Below are 16,254 nucleotides of genomic sequence, written 5' to 3'. Positions count from 1 at the left end.
GGATCTTAATGTTAATATATGCAGAGCTGAACTTACTCTCCTGTTCTTCCATTCTACTTCACCCAAACCTCTAATGTTCCTCTAATGTTGTGATAATTTAATTGCCATTTCTCATCATGTTCTAAATGCAAATCTGTATACTTGTGAAATATAAATGAATATGGATAATTTCAGACACCATTTTCTTCCACTAATGGATTGAATCTTTTGTCAAATTCAGCTGACCCGAATTACATATAAGGCCAGTGTCATTTGTTTGGACATATAAATTGGTCTTTACACAGATCAGAGTCCTAAAATGTCTAAGTGCAAAACCTAGAAAGAGAAGAACCTTAAAAGACTATCTAATACAACTTTTCTCATTTTACGGGTGAGGGAACTAAGACCCAAAGAAGAAAACTGGTTTTGTCAAAGTCACACAGCTACCTGGCACCTGACTTCAGATAACAGTGACTTTTCCTTTAAACCCTGTCTCCCTCTGCCTGCAGAATAAAATTATTGAAATATTAAAAGGTTCCCATTTGTTGAGAAGGCTTTCAGTCTCTGAAGGAAGACAGAGAGTAGAGATGGTGGTTAGCCACCTTTCGGAAGCATTCATATGTTTATATTTTAGGCTTCAAAAATTGGAAATTTATAAATCATCAAGAGAAACATACGGCTGCAGTTCACATTTGTGATATTTCTCCAAATAGGAGGTCTTATAAAACAATTTAGGTTTAAAAGCTTGAAAACAGTATTTTCTCCCTCAGGTAACAAACTGTTCTCAAATATTTTGGAAGTGCTCTTTTGTACATACACAACTTGGATGGTTGCCTAACCTAATGTTGCAATTTCATCTTCTGTTACTGCCCTTTTCTCTCAACCCAGTGAGAGAAACAGTGACTAGAACCTGCCCTAGTTCCATCCAACTCTTTGCCATTTCCCAGAGTAACATTTCACACCCCGCTAATGCTGGTCATGTTGTTTCCTTTATTTTAAATTTCATTACTTGTTACTTTATCCTTCCTTTCTAACATCTAAACTCCAGCTCATTCTGCATAGCACAGCTCAGATGTCACCCATTACCTCCTCTGTGAAGACTCTGGAGTGCCCCAGGCAAAAGGAATCCCTTCCTCATGTAATTCCTCAAGCACCGTGATCATTTATGCCAACTTCATTAGAGATGGCTGTTTGCCTGTCTGTCTACTGCTTCCCCTTTGACCACAGGCTGTGAATCTACTCAAGGAGAACCTGCTGGCTCTTATTTGCTCTTACAGCTCCTGCACCTAGTGCCAAAGCTAACTCATAACCCTTCTTAGAGGATCGATTGTTCAAGGAATACTGAAATGACTCTTTTCATTGATTATAGAGTTTTATCAATGCATTGGAAGAGGAATCTCCTTAGATAACACTTGGTTAGTTGCAATAATTTTATAGACTTGAAAGCGATAAACATATTATTCTCTTACAATGCCTTAAAGTTGCACTTAACAATTACCTATCTCCACTTAATGTAAGATTTTATTACAATAAAGAAAACAGTTTTAAATTGCCAAAGCCTTAGGACCAAAATTTATACCGTCATTTAAAAAATGTAATGTTGATTTGCAGCCCAGTAAAATCATTATAATGTCCAAAATGGTAATATCTAGTCTTACTTGGAATATTAGTTCCTTTCTCCTTATTCATTTAAATGAAGTCAAGAATCAGGGTTTGATATGCATAAGTGTACACAAAAAGCTTTATGCATAGTACCTTAAGAACTATTTCCATCCCAAGGCTATTAAAGGGCCAAAAGATACTTAAACTTATCCATGTTCTAATTTATATTTCAGCTAAAGCTCCACAGGAAAATATGAAGACTATTGGTTGTTCCACACAAACCCAACGCAAGAAATGACCCTAAGTGATAAATTATCACTTTCGTCTGAGAATGCTTACCAAAAAAATGCCTTCATTTTAACTGGTTTGTTTTTTCTTGAGCTTATGACAGAGTGAATTCTAGTTGGTCAGTCTGCCAGTATTAGTTATTAGCCTACTGTCAAACTTTAGCTATAACATGTGTATCATTTTATTGTTGGTATACGACAACCATTCTAAGTATTAAGAAAAGTTTATTCTTGCATTTGATGATGCCATGTTTTTTAACGCTGGAAAATTCAAAGATAAAGTAAGAAATCTCAGTTCAATAACCCAGGTTCACCAGGTTATATCTTCTGAAACTGAATTCAATTTATACAGTACGAGATGCTATCTTACTGCATAATGTAAAGTGAAATGCTGTGTTGTGAAGTTGTGTTATGCCAAATTCTAGATAATATCACTCAACCCTCCCTTGACTGGCTTTGAAAATGAGGCTGCTACATAGGGCTCATTTCTTTAATACTTAAAAGAAAAACAAATTCAGTCTCCTGTGAGTCAATGGCCAAATTCTCTTTACTGAAATGCTTAAGTAACATGCTATTTTGTAACAATAATGTATAGTTCTCTGAGGCTATTTTTTTCTGGATATTTTATTTGTTCAATATTAAGCTTTTATCATTGTTGATGGCATGTTACTGACCATCAACGATAACATCTTTAATTATCCCAATATGCTAATGACAATACATTGTTTATGCTTATATTTATAAATTAGCTCCCGAGCAATTATGAAGGTTTATATATATTATATTCCCTTTTTGATTTTTATTATCTTTGATCTTTTGACTGACTACTGTCTAGTCATCATCTTTCATGGTCTTCTTTCCCACAGAATCTGCCATAATTCTTCACTTGCTTTTTTTTCCCCCAGGTAGTGATTCCTTTCCCATCTTACTCTTTTTCTCCCTGAGCTTTGCATCCTGTGTATTTTAAAGAAGGGCAATTAATGTATCCATCATCCATCATTTAATTATTATGGATTTATTTCTTCATCAACTATGTACTGAGCATCAACTGTATACCAGGCAGGTGGTGGAAATCAAATGGAAGAGTATCCATAGTTACTGAGACTAATTTTTTTAAAGCCAAAGTATTTAGAATCCACATCCTGGAAAAGGGGGCAATGAGAAATGCTGCCATGGAAACAAAGATGATTGAAACACAACCCTGGCCTTCTAGGATCATTTAATCTAAGAAGGGAGAAAGACATGTTGACAAATGTAAGCTGTGTCGTAGAGAATCAAGACATTCATTCTGGTGACTTTGCATTGCAGATGTAAAATGTTATTTTTATATTCATAACTTTACTATAGTTATAACAGCAGATTATTTATAGCAGGGTCGAGTTTTAATCCCGCTTATTCTGTAAAGTCTTCGCCAACTATTTCCTATATTTCAATACCTATTTTACTTATGCCTGTATCACACATTTTAACAAATCTTTTAGTTTTCAAATGGTGGAAGCAACATGATGTGAGAGCACAAAGTGGAAGCACCCATGGCTCCCCTTACTATTCTTTTAGCTTTCCCGGGGGTCGTGGACTGAGACCATCAGCTTTCCTTCTTTGCATGGAATCCATGTTCCATTAGCTGATGACGGTCCTTTCAGGATCCCAGCACAGCAGGGCGCAGTACACAACTTTTCTTCTTTTCTACTCTTTCTAATCAAATATAGCAAACTAGTTAACATTTTACATTATTTTCCTGTTAATATGACAGAAAAAGAGTTTAATTGAATAACAAATTTGTAAAGCTTACAAAATAATTTAGTTCTTTTATTAGGAATGCGCCAGAGACTCGGGTCGGGGCAGGGTCTGGGAACATATGCAAAAGCTTCCTTCAAGAAACATGTACCTAAATCTGCGTGTCTCATCTATATCCACACTACTCTTTTTATGATAGCTTTCTGTCATTCATCTTGTCATTTAACAAATATCAAAAATGAGACTTTAAACACAGATTTTGAAAAACTGTTTGACTCTTTAAAAGAATGTACCAAAGGATGGGAGCAATGTGTGTAATAAAGGTCTTTGTTCAAGAGTAAATGGATTAGTCTTGATGGTTTTATTTTCTTCACTAAACCTACCTCTTACTTCTTCAAAGTTAATTTAGCTTTGAGTAGACTGGTCTTTTTTGTGATGCCCCTGAAGTACAGTGCGAAAGCGCAGGCTTTGGAATCTGTTGGGCGTGGATTTAAAGCACTACTGTGTGAGTTTAGGCAAGTTCTTTCACTTCTACAGGACTTCACTTTCTCATCTATAAAACGAGAGTGATTTCTTGCTCATTCTTTCAGGCATCTATTTATTCATTCAACAGAAAGGTATTGAGCATTCTGCGCTGTAGAAATCATGCGGTGTGTTGAGATTTTAACACCTAAAAAAAGACACAGGGTCCTAGTCCTCATGATACCTATAATATAGTTGGGAATATAAATAGGTATAGACAGACAAATTTAATACATCATGAAAAAGCATTGTGATAGAAAGGTGCTATGCAAACCCACAGGAAAATTAAATCATTACAAGGATTAAATGAAATAATGTAGAAGAGTGTATGGTAGTGCCCATCTTAGTGGATGCTCAATAATAATTGTTGTCTTTGGTCTCTCTGTTGATATTCTAACCTCATCCTCTACTCTCATGCCTTCTAACTGTAAGTTAAATTCATAGATGGTCTGTAGTAGTATTATCCAGTAGAAATACAACATTAGCTACAACTATGTATGTAATTTCAAATTTATTCTAGTTGCTACAATGGAAAAAGTAAAAAGAAACATGAAATGCATTTTAATAATACATCTAATTTAACTCATTTCAAAAAGATTATCATATATAATCAACATAAAATTATTTTTAAATTTTTGCGTTACGTATTTTACTTTCCATCTTCAAAATTTGATGTGTATTTTCTACTTTTCAGCACATCGCAATTTAAACCAGCTACCTTTCAAGTGCCCAGTAGCCACATGTGGCTAGACTGCCAAATTGGATCCTACAGGTCTCTGCTTACTAATTGACCAAGGTTACACTTTTTAAGAAGCAGTGCCCTGTAGGTACTGTAGTAAGCCTCTAAGAGATCTTTAATTAATTAACCAGCACCATTTTCATCCTTTCTCCATCCCTCCTTTTCTCAGGTACTGGGTATCAAAGATAAACTGCAGGCTGTGGACCTTGCCCCTCACTCCCATCCCCAATTCACTATACAGTGAAGGAGAGAAACCAATGAGTAGATAGCTTACAACATATTATAATTGCTTGGAAACAGATAAAGTATAAATGTGTTTTATTCTTAAAAATTGCTGACAGATCTTTGTTCTTACCGTAAAAAATGAGAAGTATATGCATATGTTAATTAGCCTGATTTAGCCATTCCACCTCGATTTAGCCACTCCACAATGGCACAGTAGTTCAGAGTGTCAATTTGTACATGATAAATATATACTGTTTTTATATTTTTAATAAATATAATATTCTTACAGAAGAAATAGAAGACAGGGAAAATGTGTATGAAATTGGATGATAAGCATAGAAGGGAGGGAGTTGCAAATTACCTGGAAATATCTGGAATGGTCTGCATTTTAAGGCAGAAAAGTTAGACTATCCCTTCTATGTCAGGTTCCCCTGCTTCAATAAATAATATGCTTCTTGGCTTATTTCCTGCAACAAAGTACAAGGTTCCGAGGAGGGGTCTGTCTGGTAACAAAAATGATCTCTGGCATCCTAGAGGAATGATCTCTGGCATCCTAGAGGAAAACCAGCCCTGAAGCTCCTGTGATTAGAATTAACATAAAGGCACCTCAGTAAGAGACACCCTGACCTGACTTACTTCCTACTTGTTTCAGTTGGCTGCAATGGACTTTTCTTGTGTTTTTGTCAATATGCAAATCCCTCTTCAAAGATGTTAAAGCCAATAATATTGAGTAAATACGTTGGAATTTAAAAAAAAAAAAAAAGTAGAAGAAGCTGCAGCAGCTTGATAGATCAATTTCTTGTTAACCCCAAACCCATTTGTTGGTAACTTGACCAATTCGTTACTCAACTCCACTGGAAAGCTTTTGAAGATCAGCATCATTCCCTTTTTGAGTCCATTAGCCTCATGACATGAGGGGGATTCTGTAATATTGTGAGATCCATAAAAGAAAATGCTTCAAAAACTTTTTATTCATAACTTGGATTTGGGAAGATAAAAAAACACCTTTTAACAAAAGGTGACTTTTTTTTTATTTGATATTTTTCAAAGTCTAGGGACCTAATGGAAAGTTAAACATAGGGTAAAAATGTACACCGATCAGCTGTTTTCACTAAGCACGCTATCCTGTGACAGATGCATATTTAACTGAACTCAGTGAGTAGAGCATCCTGTGAACAGAACCCAAATCTGACTTGGCCCTAAAGGAGAAAGACTGCATGACTTCGGATCCTTCCTTTCTCATAAGCAAAGAATTTGCACCTGCATTGAGTTTGTGGAAGACTTACTTCAAAAATATATTCACAGTCTTATTTTTACCTTAATGATTGCTTCTGAAAGTGTGTTTGTAAAATCAATGTATAAAACACATATTTCTGGATCTGAATATTTAGGATGTTATCACTGCTTCTTCAGAAGAGGATTTTTTGGGCTTTTTTTGTGCTGCATGTCCATGAATTTACAGCACAATAAGGAAACACTTAGAAAATGTTTATGGTGTGTATAATCTTATACAGTGACAATGAATATTACAACATGGTCATGAATTTAGGAAGCTATGTAGTATTATATGTCAATAGACATTGAACATCCCTTTCACTCTTCCAGATGTTTATGTTAGAGCTCACAGCTTTATCCTTACCATAGCTACAATAAGTTTACAGCTGTGTAAAGTGTTTGGCATGTGGTAAAATGGCTCTCCTGAGAGAATAATAACATGAATCTATCATGGTAGCTGACTGTAAAGCCTAGCTTAGATAATGTAGGAAATGCAAGGAATGCTAACTGATCATAATACAGACTTATAGCAATCTATGAGGTGGCTAATATCAAAATTTCCAAGGAAAATGACATTCTATCTTTCATGTCATAGGAAACTCATAAATCACTAAATATCAGCCGGCAGAAACCATTTAAAATCATATTTTTTCTATCACAATTTGTTTTACTGTGCTATGTTTTGTTAGTCCAAAGGGGAAAATATGTGATTAATTTTTGTCCATGTTTTAAAGGAAAAATGCATGCCCTGTATAAGTGTTTAAAGTTTACAAACACAACCAAACTTACAAAGCAAGGTCGGAAATACAGCTCCTAGTTACAAAGGTTAAATTTAAATACTGTTATTTATTTGAAGCAAGTTACTACCATCTGTGTTAGAATAGAGTTGGAGGCATGGAAAAGACGGAGGACAGGTCATGGACTGTTTTGCTCGTAAATGAGAATTAAAATGCTTATTTGGAGGGTCTCAATTTTTTTCTTGTTCATTAATATATCTATAATTTACTGTCTTTTTAATACATTGGAATCTCTAGGATGACGAGTCATTTTCAACAAAGGTCATTTAGACATATAATTATTTTTCAAACTTTTACATATAAGCTAATAACTAAACAGGCACTTTTTCTGTGGTCCTCTGATTGAAGGCAATTGTAAACTAAATTCTGATGTTTTATGAAATTATTCACCAGCTCCCCATTTCTCTGCATTTTATAGTAATTTGTTATCAAAAATGTATATTTTCTAGGCACATGGTACAGATACTAACTTAAAAGGCTTATTGTTTTTTGTAGACAATTGTCTATTTATTGTGCTTAATAGACTTTTGCAAGTCAAACATAGAAATGCAAAAAAGTCCATGTGTAAGGTTTATTCACAATTAAGAATTTTTTAAATGTGTAAAAATATGAGTTTGTGAAGGCATCGTCTATTATTTTAAGTGTATTAAGATGAATAGTGTTTTTCTCCAAATAAGAATATTTTTGGTTTAAAAAAGCTAAAAAGGTTTTATGTTTAAGGTTAAACTCTAATAGGTAATGTTGTAAGATTTTCTATAATTGCTTAGGTATCTCTAGTATTTCGTAACTGCTCTTGACACATGTAGTATACAAGCTGAAGAGAGTCAGCTAAAATTCCATAGTTTTGAGTTAGAATTACCTTGTATATTTTGAAATATTCTTGGGTGAGTTCTGAATATAAAGCATATTTAAAATCAAATGAAGCTTACTTAATTTCATAGAGAAAGTGGTCAAAAGACAGGACACTATCATTCAAATCTGGCTTATAACTATTTTAAGGTTTGTGCCTAACTCATTGATTTTATCCACACTGAAATGACTGTTAGAACCAAAAACAATTTTCTTTCAGAATGAAATTATTTCAGAGATTTCTCAGAAAGTATCTAACATAAATTTGAGGACAGAAATAGTATGTAAGTAGTGCTTGTTAGCCTAAAAGGAAGCTAAGTTTGCATAAATTAAAAAGTTGAATCTATATTCCACTCTAGAAAACTGATGCAAATTTGTTGCCTGAAATTCTCCAAAATTTTAGGAAAAAATGCTGTTGGTGGGAAGCAGTTCCTTAGAAGTCAAAGAACCCCAGTTGTTTGCAGTTCCTCAGTAAAGGAAGAAACCATTAACGAGTTAACTTGATGGGGTTGTTTGATTTTTTTCTTGTAAAATTGTTTAAGTTCTTTGTAGGTTCTGGATATTAGCCCTTTGTCAGATGGGTAGATTGCAAAATTTTCTCCCATTCTGTAGGTTGCCTGTTCACTCTGATGGTAGTTTCTTTTGCTGTGCAGAAGCTCTTTAGTTTAATTAGATCCCATTTGTCAATTTTGGTTTTTGTTGCCATTGCTTTAGGTATTTTAGACATGAAGTCCTTGCCCGTGCCTGTGTCCTGAATGGTATTGCCTAGGTATTCTTCTAGGATTTTTATGGTTTCAGGTCTAACATTTAAGTCTTTAACCCATCTTGAATTAATTTTTGTATAAGGTATAAGGAAGAGATCCAGTTTCAGCTTTCTATATATGGCTAGCCAGTTTTCCCAGCACCATTTATTAAATAGGGAATCCTTTCCCCATTTCTTCTTTTTGTCAGGTTTGTCAAAGATCAGGTGGTTGTAGATATGTGGTATTATTTCTGAGGGCTCTGTTCTGTTCCATTGGTCTATATGTCTGTTTTGGTACCAGTACCACGCTGTTTTGGTTACTGTTGCCTTGTAGTATAGTTTGAAGTCAGGTAGCATGATGCCTCCAGCTTTGTTCTTTTGGCTTAGGATTGACTTGGCAATGCAGGCTCATTTTTGCTTCCATATGAACTCTAAAGTAGTTTTTTCCAATTCTGTGAGGAAAGTAATTGGTAGCTTGATGGGGATGGCATTGAATCTATAAATTACCTTGGGCACTATGGCCATTTTCACGATATTGATTCTTCCTATCCATGAGCATGGAATGTTCTTCTATTTGTTTGTGTCCTCTTTTATTTCATTGAGGAGTGGTTTGCAGTTCTCCTTGAAGAGGTCCTTACAAGGAATCCTTGTAAGTGGGATTCCTAGGTATTTTATTCTCTTTGAAGCAATTGTGAATGGGAATTCACTAATGATTTGGCTCTCTGTTTGTCTGTTATTGGTGTATAGGAATGCTTGTGATTTTTGCACATTGATTTTGTATCCTGAGTCTTTGCTGAAGTTGCTTATCAGCTTAAGGAGATTTTGGGCTAAGATGATGGGGTTTTCTAAATACACAATCATGTCATCTGCAAACAGGGACAATTTGACTTCCTCTTTTCCTAATTAAATACCCTTCATTTCTTTCTCCTGCCTGATTGACCAGACACTTCTCAAAAGAAGACATTTATGTAGCCAACAGACACATGAAAAAATGCTCATCATCACTGGCCATCAGAGAAATGCAAATCAAAACCACAATGAGATACCATCTCACACCAGTTAGAATGACAATCATTAAAAAGTCAGGAAACAACAGGTGCTGCAGAGGATGTGGAGAAATAGGAACACTTTTACACTGTTGGTGGGACTGTAAACTAGTTCAACCATTGTGGAAGACAGTGTGGCAATTCCTCAAGGATCTAGACCTAGAAATACCATTTGACCCAGCCATCCAATTACTGGGTATATACCCAAAGGATTATAAATCATGCTGCTATAAAGACACATGCACACGTATGTTTATTGCGGCACTATTCACAATAGCAAAGACTTGGAACCAACCCAAATGTCCAACAATGATAGACTAGATTAGGAAAATGTGGCACATATACACCATGGAATACTATGCAGCCATAACAAAGGATGAGTTCATGTCTTTGTAGGCACATGGATGAAGCTGGAAACAATCATTCTCAGCAAAGTATCGCAAGGACAGAAAACCAAACACCGCATGTTCTCACTCATAGGTGGGAATTGAACAATGAGAACACTTGGACACAGGAAGGGGAACATCACACACTGGGGCCTGTCATGGGATGGGGGGAGGGAGGAGGGACAGCATTAGGAGATATACCTAATGTAAATGACGAGTTAATGGGTGCAGCACACCAACACGGCACGTGTATACATATGTAACAAACCTGCACGTTGTGCACATGTATCCCAGGACTTGAAGTATAATTTTAAAAAAAAAGTTAATTTGATTGTTTAAAACAAATATGTCATAGAAAAAGACTTAATAAGAAAATCAAATTTGATAAGTAATATGTTAAATTTATACCAATATATTTTTAAAACTTGCCTTTAATGGTATTTTCTCATATATTACATATTTGCATGAAATTTTTCATATGTTGTGTATACCAATATACTTATCCAAGTATATGGAGAATAAATTTATTAATGTGCTTAACAATTATTAATACATGAAGTTAATAATATTCATTTGTAATTATTGACTAGTTTGCTATTTAATTTGAGCAAGAATTAAAATTAGTTGGTTGACTTATAAGTTTAATCTGTGTTTTTAGATTTATCTGGCATCAGCTTCACACATTAAAAGCCTAGGAAGAAACCAACCACTACTGAAATGCAACAGCAAATACTTAATATTATCATAAACTTTGTAACACCATTGGGAATAAGACTGTATAGCATGATATTAGTTGAAAATTCCAAATGCATAAATTGGAGGAAAGAATGGGACTGACACATGTATGGGTGTGCATGCACACACACACGCCCGAGGTGGACACACACACATGCATACCCCAGGTGGAAACATACATGCCCCAGGTGGACACACACACACACACACCCCAGGTGGATACACACATACGCCCCAGGTGGACACACACACATACACACCCTAGGTGGATACACACACACCCCAGGTGGACACACACACATACACATCCCAGGTGGACACACACGCACACACCCCCCAGGTAGGCAGACACACATACACACCTCAGGTGGATACACACACACACACACCCCCCAGGTGGGCACACACACATATGCCTAGGTGTCAAGCACAGTGCTGGACTTCTCAAGGAATACATAGTAATGGGAGACAGGTATGTAAACAAATAACTTTAATATAAGAGAATCTTTGTAATAGAACATGCCGTGGGAGCAGAGGCAGTAATTCTGTTAGGATCGGGAGCAAGATAAAGGCATAGAAGAGGGGAACCTCTGCACTCTAGAGGTTGAATAGGACTTAGGACTCAACAAGACAAGTAGAAACACATTGAAAAAAAAAGCCATTTTCTAACCTGTTATCTGGGAAGGAGGGAAGAAGGGAGAAAGGGATAGAATGTTGTAACTGCTTACTCATACTCCACTTACACCCTACAAGGTGTTTAAATACTTTCCTCAGTCCTGTGTGGTAGGTATTATTGTCTCCATTTTTAAAGAGGAGAAAATACTTATTTATCTTAAATTCTATAAAATTTAAAATAAATTACTAACAGCTGTCGATGTATTCTATAATAAATTTTACCCATTAAAAGAAGGAGAAGGAACTATAAGCACATGGATAAAGTCTTCCTCAAATGAAAAGTGAAACAAGAAATCTAAAAAGATAAAAATAAGAGACTATCAAAACTTCTGAATATATGTAACGGGAATAAAGCATAGAAGAACTTACACAAAAAGACTGTCTAAAAAGAACAGAGCACTAACAGGGCACAAGAGTTGGTTCAACAAAATGAGAGAGAGAGGGGGAGAGAGACAGAGAGAGGAGACAGAGGGAGAGAAGAATTCACATGTCTAGTAAACGTAATTTTAAAATGTGTAGCCAAGCCATTACCAAAGAAATGCAAGTTAAAATATTAAGTGATTTCATCTTAGGGGTTGAAAGATTGCAATCCTCAATACCTGTGGCAAGGTCAAGGTTGCTGGTGCGTATTGATGATTCCCAACTGCTTGGGGAATCCTTCTGTCCTTCCATTTTGTTTTCCTCATGCTACAGATCCATCCCGAAAAGTACTGATTTTTTTTTTTGGTTGTTGGTGGTGTTTTCAGTCTCCAGGAATTTTGTTTCTTTTGCGAAGGGGACTAAAAGCACCCTCGGGTTTCACAAAGCTAAGGCTCTTGAGAGTTAGAAAATTTTATTTTTTTTTTCAAAGGAATGGAAATAAGAAACCATTCTAGATAGAAGCTGACATGTGAATTGTCATGTAAGAACTTACGAGGTAAATACACAGAGAAAGGAAATCGGCTTTCCCTAGTCTTATGCCCTGGTTTACATTTGACTATGACAGCGAGAAAGATAAGGTTCTCAGAACTGACTGACATCATATTAAGCAGCAGGATGTCATAGGAAATAATATACATAAACTTAAATCTTGTTTCCCTGAACCAGAAATGCCCAGAAAACTACTTAAACATTCACTGCTAATAAGTTAGCCGTCCTACCAAAAAATATTTCTCCCAATCATGTGTGGATAATGATGTCACATGTCACTTCCAACCTAAAAATATCATGATGGACCCGGATGTCATTAGTAGGCTAAATTTGTCTCAGAATTAACGCTGCTCATCATCAAATATTGCCTAGAATTTTAGTATAATCTGAATGATTTAACTAGACCACTTTCATGAACCTGATTGTCTCCAGACCATTTTTTCTTTTATTAAAAAATTGTGTGAATAAAAACACAAGATCTGATTATACATTTTTTAAATTTCACTGCATTCATTTCCCAAGTCCCAATAACAAATGATTTAAAAATCAGATCTGTACACTAAATAACTAATTTTAGTTAATTAAGATTGACAATATATTATAATCTATTTTGTGAGAGATTATTTGAGCTGAATGTACTTAAAAATGACTGAAGTAAGTAGATAATAGAGTATTTTTGTTGGAAGAGGAACCTAGAAACATTGTTTTCTGCTGCTGCTGAGTTTAAGTAGAAAGCCTCCAGTCACAACGGACCATTATGTTTCTAATTGCCCTTATTAACAGAAGAAAAAGAAGTGAAAGATTTTCTCTGGAGAATCTTAGAGAACCTACTGTTTCCAAACAAGCTCGATGGTATTGGTCCATACATTTTATATTTACAGGTTAGGTTTTGTCATCAGAAAAACAATGGTGAGGCAGAAAACTGCACAAATCAAATGCAATCAGGTATTTATGAACAAAATGTAGAGGTTACTGTCTTTTTTACTTAGAAGAGAAAAACTGACAAACCAAAGATGTTCCTACATGGTTTTTTGGTTTTGTTTTGAATTGTTTTGTTATTTTTTTTTGCTGTGTTTTACCTTGAGAGTTCTGGATCTTAAACATTTGCTTCACTGATCAACAGTGATTGAGCTGTGTTCATGCGCTTGTGTTTTTATCCATGGTAAATGTTATGCCTTTTTTTTTTTTTTTTTTTTTTTGATACAAAGTCTCACTCTGTCAACCAGGCTGGAGTGCAGTGGTGCAATCTCAGCTCACTGCAACCTCCACCTCCCAGGTTCAAATTATTCTTGTGCCTCAGCCTCTCAAGTAGCTGGAATTATAGGCATGTGCCACCATGCCTAGCTAATTTTTGTATTTTTAGTACAGATGAGGTTTCACCATGTTGGCCAGGGTGGTCTGGAACTGCTGACCACAAGTGATCCACCCACCTCAGCTTCCCAGAATGCTGGGATTACTGGCATGAGCCACTGCACCCAGCCAATATCATGCCTTTTTTGGTAAACTACTAGCTCCCATTACCTCGACTGATGCAAATAGTGCTTCTTACCAGAATATCAACACTTAGCATTCTATAGATGAAATCCTACTGTGTTCAAAAACATTTTTGTGCATTTCACAGCATATAACACGAAGATTTCTACACTTGGCAGAGAAATGTTTCAAGTTTTCAACCTTAAGCATTTTGTATGTGTGTATAGCATTAGGTTGAAAAGATCTTAGTATTTCTGGGATTTCTGGGTGTGTGTGTGTGCACACACCCGCATGCATGTGTGTGTTGTTCAGGGTAGAATGTAAGCGTTTTAGAATGTTTTTTCACTGAATTATTCCTTGGTGTTATCCAATCACCTAAATGTTCATATTCTGCACTGTGGATTTTTCATTTCTTTATTGCATCTATCCTTCACTAGCTCTGTCATGAATATCCATTTTTAGACACATTAATTCTAAATCTCATATTTGAAAGAAAAGCATTTTACTTATTTAAAAGTAACTGGAAAGTATTGCCTGGTATCAGGAGATGAAAAGATTTACAAAGATGAGAAAAAAGATTGGTTCATTGTCAAAGAAAATTTGCACTGGGTGGAGTTTACAATTAAACGGGCAAGGAAGACTTTATTCAAGATCACTGCAATAAGGGAGATTGAACTCAAGTGCCCTGAAACAAAAAGCAGGAGGATTTTTAAACACTAGGGTGAGCTGGTGGAAAACTACTGGAGGAGGTGGGAGGGGTGAATTTTGTCAGTGTAATTAAGCCATTTGGGTTTGCTAATTGGTACTTAGGAAAGTTAGGCTCCTACCTTTCCACCAAGACTGAGAGTTGGGGCCCTACCTTTCTTACTACGTTTCAGAAAGATGGATCCCAAGTCTGTGAAAAAAAGACATTCCTGGGTTATAGAAGATTTATATCTCAAAAGGGCAAAAAAGAATTTACAATTTGCAAGTTCTCTAAAGAAAAATGGTCTAAGAAAAGGGAGGTCGGGGGTCTATAGTCAGGAAGAAACCTGTCTAAAGTTTAGTCAAGCTGAGGGGAACATTAAGGCCTTCTTGGTCACCAAGATATTACAGAAGTTCCATATATGTCCAATAAGAGACGGTAGACTCGTAGTTAGCAAGAGATTTTTCTAGACAGTTGATATGAGGCACAGTTAAGAGTCAAGTCAAGTTGAGAGGTGCAATTTCAACAAGCATCCTCCAGATCCAGACAAAAAAAGCCGCATGAGTTCACCATCGAGTCACTTCAGCTGTTCTCTTATAAGAACAGATATTATTATCTGAGTCAACTGAGTCAATGCTGCTGTTTCGATTTCTGACTTGTCTTTGATCATGGATTATTTGATTCAATTTGACATTCCTTTGAAGAATCTTCTAGCTGATTACAGCATGTAGATAGGAAATTTCTCTTTTTGGCCTTTTCTCACACAGCACACACACTCACACACATAATTCAGCTTCCTGAAGGATTTATGCCTCCCTTTTTTCCTCTTTGATCTGTAATTAGTCCCTTATATTTTATAGACAGTGTTTAATTTTTACCTTATCATGCTACTCTATAGTGTTACCAGAGGTCAATATAATAACTTCAGTACTCTATAAATTAGAAATAAAAGAGGACAGAAAAATATAATATGTTGCCCTCTACTTATTTTTTTAAGGCTTCTTAGTATTTAGAAACTTGTCTGGAATCGTATGGAACTACTTCCTGCTATAGCAATAGATATGTGAGTATTGTTGGTCCTAAGTAGCAGTGAAGTCATGTGAGAAGCGAAACTGGAGTCACCATCTTCTTGATTTTTATATCTCAATCTTAGAAGTCTGTAAATGTTCATAAAATGTTAGACTTCGAGTTTCTGAGCCCTAACTCAGGTTTCTGTGAGTTCCTGGAGGATTACATTCACAAAGTCATACCTTAGCTCTAAGTTCCTGCCTGCCAAACTCTTGATCTCACTTATACTTCAATTTTCATGGCTGTTTTCTTCTCCAGGCCAACCCAGATATGCAACTCAACCCTGCTTCCTTGATTTGCCTAGAAACCTGTCACATGAGGCATTACAAGCAATACATCAAAGGAACTTATTGATGGTTTGGGCAATGTAAGACAAGGGGTGTGTGTGTGTGTGTGTGTGTGTGTGTGTGTAGGAATTTCAAATGTGATATTATACATTTTTACTTTCACAACTACTTTGGTCTGGCCACCTTGACGCCAGTGTATTTTTATAGACTCAATCCTTCTCTGCTTCTTCTTTTTC

General features: G+C 35.8%; 1 protein-coding gene and 1 long non-coding RNA gene across 16 annotated transcripts in view; both read left to right on the top strand.

Annotated features, from left to right (window-relative positions):
- Window positions 1-3,947, top strand: part of LOC124901683 (uncharacterized) — a 35,204-nt gene extending 31,257 nt beyond the window's left edge. Inside the window, exon 2 of the long non-coding RNA XR_007060399.1 lies at window positions 1,815-3,947. This is a non-coding gene — a long non-coding RNA (uncharacterized LOC124901683). The remainder of the gene's footprint in view (window positions 1-1,814) is intronic.
- Window positions 1-16,254, top strand: part of MAGI2 (membrane associated guanylate kinase, WW and PDZ domain containing 2) — a 1,436,613-nt gene that overhangs the window by 1,040,159 nt on the left and 380,200 nt on the right. The gene's annotated exons all lie outside the window — the stretch shown is intronic.

The sequence above is a fragment of the Homo sapiens genome, chromosome 7, assembly GCF_000001405.40.
Source record: "Homo sapiens chromosome 7, GRCh38.p14 Primary Assembly".
NCBI classification, from domain to species: Eukaryota; Metazoa; Chordata; class Mammalia; order Primates; family Hominidae; genus Homo; species Homo sapiens.
Note: the sequence above shows the minus strand (reverse complement) of the source record. Positions and strands in the feature narration are given on the sequence as shown.